This window comes from Homo sapiens, chromosome 3 (genome assembly GCF_000001405.40).
Source record: "Homo sapiens chromosome 3, GRCh38.p14 Primary Assembly".
In the NCBI taxonomy this organism is placed as follows: domain Eukaryota; kingdom Metazoa; phylum Chordata; class Mammalia; order Primates; family Hominidae; genus Homo; species Homo sapiens.
The window spans coordinates 26,781,546-26,786,348 of record NC_000003.12 but is presented as its reverse complement, the minus strand read 5'-3'; the positions used below and the strand labels follow the sequence as shown (position 1 = coordinate 26,786,348).

Here is a 4,803-nt window from a genome sequence, read left to right as displayed (position 1 = left end):
TTATTTGCGTAGAGGTATTTGTAGTATTCTCTGATGGTAGTTTGCATTTCTGTGGGATCCGTGGTGATATCCCCTTTATCATTTTTTATTGCGTGTATTTGATTCTTCTCTCTTTTTTTCTTTATTAGTCTTGCTAGCGGTCTATCAATTTTGTTGATCCTTTCAAAAAACCAGCTCCTGGATTCATTAATTTTTGAAGGGTTTTTTGTGTCTCTATTTCCTTCAGTTCTGCTCTGATTTTAGTTATTTCTTGCCTTCTGCTAGCTTTTGAATGTGTTTGCTCTTGCTTTTCAAGTTCTTTTAATTGTGATGTTAGGGTGTGTCAATTCTGGATCTTTCCTGCTTTCTCTTCTGGGCATTTAGTGCTATAAATTTCCCTCTACACACTGCTTTGAATGCATCCCAGAGATTCTGGTATGTTGTATCTTTGTTCTCATTGGTTTCAAAGAACATCTTTATTTCTGCCTTCATTTCGTTATGTACCCAGTAGTCATTCAGGAGCAGGTTGTTCAGTTTCCATGTAGTTGAGCAGTTTTGAGTGAGATTCTTAATCCTGAGTTCTAGTTTGATTGCACTGTGGTCTGAGAGACAGTTTATTATAATTTCTGTTCTTTTACATTTGCTGAGGAGAGCTTTACTTCCACGTATGTGGTCAATTTTGGAATAGGTGTGGTGTGGTGCTGAAAAAAATGTATATTCTGTTGATTTGGGGTGGAGAGTTCTGCAGATGTCTATTAGGTCCGCTTGGTGCAGAGCTGAGTTTAATTCCTGGGTATCCTTGTTGACTTTCTGTCTCATTGATCTGTCTAATATTGACAGTGGGGTGTTAAAGTCTCCCATGATTAATGTGTGGGTGTCTAAGTCTCTTTGTAGGTCACTCAGGAGTTGCTTTATGAATCTGGGTGCTCCTGTATTGGGTGCATATATATTTAGGATAGTTAGCTCTTCTTGTTGAATTGATCCCTTTACCATTATGTAATGGCCTTCTTTGTCTCTTTTGATCTTTGTTGGTTTAAAGTCTGTTTTATCAGAGACTAGGATTGCAACCCCTGCCTTTTTTTGTTTTCTATTTGCTTGGTAGATCTTCCTCCATCCTTTTATTTTGAGCCTATGTGTGTCTCTGCCCGTGAGATGGGTTTCCTGAATACAGCACACCAATGGGTCTTGACTCTTTATCCAATTTGCCAGTCTGTGTCTTTTAATTGGGGCATTTAGTCCATTTACATTTAAAGTTAATATTGTTATGTGTGAATTTGATCCTGTCATTATGATGTTAGCTGGTGATTTTGCTCGTTAGTTGATGCCGTTTCTTACTAGTGTCGATGGTCTTTACAAGTTGACATGATTTTGCAGTGGCTGGTACCGGTTGTTCCTTTCCATGTTTAGTGCTTCCTTTAGGAGCTCTTTTAGGGCAGGCCTGGTGGTGACAAAATCTCTCAGCATTTGTTTGTCTGTAAAGTATTTTATTTCTCCTTCACTTATGAAGCTTAGTTTGGCTGGATATGAAATTCTGGGTTGAAAATTCTTTTCTTTGAGAATGTTGAATATTGGCCCCCACTCTCTTCTGGCTTGTAGGGTTTCTGCTGAGAGATCCGCTGTTAGTCTGATGGGCTTTCCTTTGAGGGTAACCCGACCTTTCTCTCTGGCTGCCCTTAACATTTTTTCCTTCATTTCAACTTTGGTAAATCTGACAATTATGTGTCTTGGAGTTGCTCTTCTCGAGGAGTATCTTTGTGGCATTCTCTGTATTTCCTGAATCTGAACGTTGACCTGCCTTGTTAGATTGGGGAAATTCTCCTGGATCATATCCTGCAGAGTGTTTTCCAACTTGGTTCCATTGTCCCCATCACTTTCAGGTACACCAATCAGACGTAGATTTGGTCTTTTCACATAGTCCCATATTTCTTGGAGGCTTTGCTCATTTCTTTTTATTCTTTTTTCTCTAAACTTTCCTTCTCGCTTCATTTCATTCATTCCATCTTCCATTGCTGATACCCTTTCTTCCAGTTGTTCGCATCGGCTCCTGAGGCTTCTGCATTCTTCATGTCATTCTCGAGCCTTGGTTTTCAGCTCCATCGGCTCCTTTAAGCACTTCTCTGTATTGGTTATTCTAGTTATACATTCTTCTAAATTTTTTTCAAAGTTTTCAACTTCTTTGCCTTTGGTTTGAATGTCCTCCCGTAGCTCAGAGTAATTTGATCGTCTGAAGCCTCCTTCTCTCAGCTCGTCAAAGTCATTCTCCATCCAGCTTTGTTCCATTGCTGGTGAGGAGCTGCGTTCCTTTGGAGGAGGAGAGGCGCTCTGCTTTTTAGAGTTTCCAGTTTTTCTGTTCTGTTTTTTCCCCATCTTTGTGGTTTTATCTACTTTTGGTTTTTGATGATGGTGATGTACAGATGGGTTTTTGGTGTGGATGTCCTTTCTGTTTGATAGTTTTCCTTCTAACAGACAGGACCCTCAGCTGCAGGTCTGTTGGAGTACCCTGCAGTGTGAGGTGTCAGTGTGCCCCTGCTGGAGGGTGCCTCCCAGTTAGGCTGCTCGGGGGTCAGGGGTCAGGGACCCACTTGAGGAGGCAGTCTGCCCGTTCTCACATCTCCAGCTGCGTACTGGGAGAACCACTGCTCTTTTCAAAGCTGTCAGACAGGGACATTTAAGTCTGCAGAGGTTACTGCTGTCTTTTTGTTTTTCTGTGCCCTGCCCCCAGAGGTGGAGCCTACAGAGGCAGGCAGGCCTCCTTGAGCTGTGGTGGGCTCCACCCAGTTCGAGCTTCCCAGCTGCTTTGTTTACCTAATCAAGCCTGGGCAATGGCGGGCGCCCCTCCCCCAGCCTGGCTGCCGCCTTGCAGTTTGATCTGAGACTGCTGTGCTAGCAATCAGCGAGACTCCGTGGGGTAGGACCCTCCGAGCCATGTGCGGGATATAATCTCATGGTGCGCTGTTTTTTAAGCCCATCGTAAAAGCTCAGTATTAGGGTGGGAGTGACCCAATTTTCCAGGTGCCCTCCTTCACCCCTTTCTTTGATTAGGAAAGGGAACTCCCTGACCCCTTGTGCTTCCCGAGTGAGGCAATGCCTCGCCCTGCTTCGGCTCGCTCACGGTGCGCGCACCCACTGACCTGCGCCCACTGTCTGGCACTCCCTAGTGAGATGAACCTGGTACCTCAGATGGAAATGCAGAAATCACCCATCTTCTGCGTCGCTCAGGCTGGGAGCTGTAGACCAGAGCTGTTCCTATTCGGCCATCTTGGCTCCTCCCCCTGTGGTGTGTAAATTATTATGCTAAGTAGAAAGACTAAATGATGAATCAATCAAAAATAATAACTACAACATTTCAAGACCACCTGAATATTGAAAAAGTCAGTAAACAAGAAGTTTAAAAGCTAGAGGACAAAGTTAAGCCATGTAGGTTTTATGAATTTGCTTTTTGCTTGTTAATGTGTTTATGCAAACAGTGTTAAGTTGTTGAAAGGTTAAAATAATGGGATATAAAATAGTATTTGCAAGTCTCGTGGTAACCTTAAACCAAAAAAACTTACTAGGGAGACACAAAAAATAAAAAAACAAGAAACTAAATCATGTCATTAAAGACAATCACTTTCGTTAGAGGAAGACTGGTAGGAAAGAAGGAAGAGAAGTCCACAAAACAACCAAAAACCAAATACCAAAATGGCAGGAGTATGTCCTTACTCATCACTAATAACATGACATGTAAATGGACTAATCTGTTTAATTAAAAGACATAGACTGGCTGAATGGATGAAAAAAACAAGACTCATTGATCTGTTGCCAAGAAACACACAAAACCTATAAAGACACACATAGGCTGAAAATAAAGATATCAAAAAAGATATTCCATGCCAATGGAAGTCAAAATAGAGCAGAAGTTGCTCTATTTATATCAGAAAAAATAGATTTCAAGACCAAATCTATAAGAAAAAACAGAGAAAGTAATCTATAATGATAAAGGGGTCAATTCAGCAAGATAATATAATAATTTTAAATATATATAAGCCCAACGGTGGAGCACCCAGATATATAAAGCAAACCTTATCAGAGGTAAAGAGAGAGATAGGCCCTGATACAATAATAGCTGGAAACTTCAACACTCCACTTTCAGCATTGGAGTGATCTTCCAGATAGAAAATCAACAAAGAAGCATCAGACTTAATCTGCACTATAGACTAAATATATCTAATAAATATTTATAGAAGATTTTATTCAATGGCTGCAGAATACACATTCTTCTCCTCAGCACATGAATTATTCTCTAGGATAAATTATATTTTAGTTTACAAAACAAGTCTTAAAACATTCAAAACAATTGAAATAATATCAGTCATCTTCTCTAACCATAATGGAATAGAACAGAAATTAAAAACGAGGAATTTTGTAAACTATACAAATACATGGAAATTAAACAATATTCCCCCAAATTAATCATGGATCAATAAAGAAATTGGGAAAGAACTTGAAAATTTCTTTGAAACAAATGATGATGGAAATACAACATACCAAAACCTATGGGATACAGGAAAAGCAGTACTAAAAGGGAAATTTATAGCTATAAATGCCTACATCAAAAAATATTAAAAAAATTCAAATAAACAATCTAATGATGCATCTTTAAGAACTAGAAAAGCAAGAGCAAACTAAATGCAAAATTAGAAGAAAAGAGATAATAAATATCAGAGCAGAAATAAATAAATTTGAAATTAAAAAATATGAATAAAAGGATTCAATGAAACCAAAGTTGATTTTTTTAAAAAGCAAGCGGCCAGTCGCGGTGGCTCTCACCTGTAATCCCAGCAC

The 4,803-nt window shown here is 39.6% G+C and overlaps 2 annotated features.

Annotated features, from left to right (window-relative positions):
* Nucleotides 2,370-2,962: an enhancer, noted in NCBI's record as "OCT4-NANOG-H3K27ac-H3K4me1 hESC enhancer chr3:26824878-26825470 (GRCh37/hg19 assembly coordinates)". NCBI's record gives its function as "activates a minimal SCP1, AML or CMV promoter by ChIP-STARR-seq in primed H9 embryonic stem cells {active_cell/tissue: H9 hESC(primed)}" and the evidence as "EXISTENCE:reporter gene assay evidence [ECO:0000049][PMID:30033119]".
* Nucleotides 2,963-3,556: an enhancer, noted in NCBI's record as "OCT4-NANOG-H3K27ac-H3K4me1 hESC enhancer chr3:26824284-26824877 (GRCh37/hg19 assembly coordinates)". NCBI's record gives its function as "activates a minimal SCP1, AML or CMV promoter by ChIP-STARR-seq in naive H9 embryonic stem cells {active_cell/tissue: H9 hESC(naive)}" and the evidence as "EXISTENCE:reporter gene assay evidence [ECO:0000049][PMID:30033119]".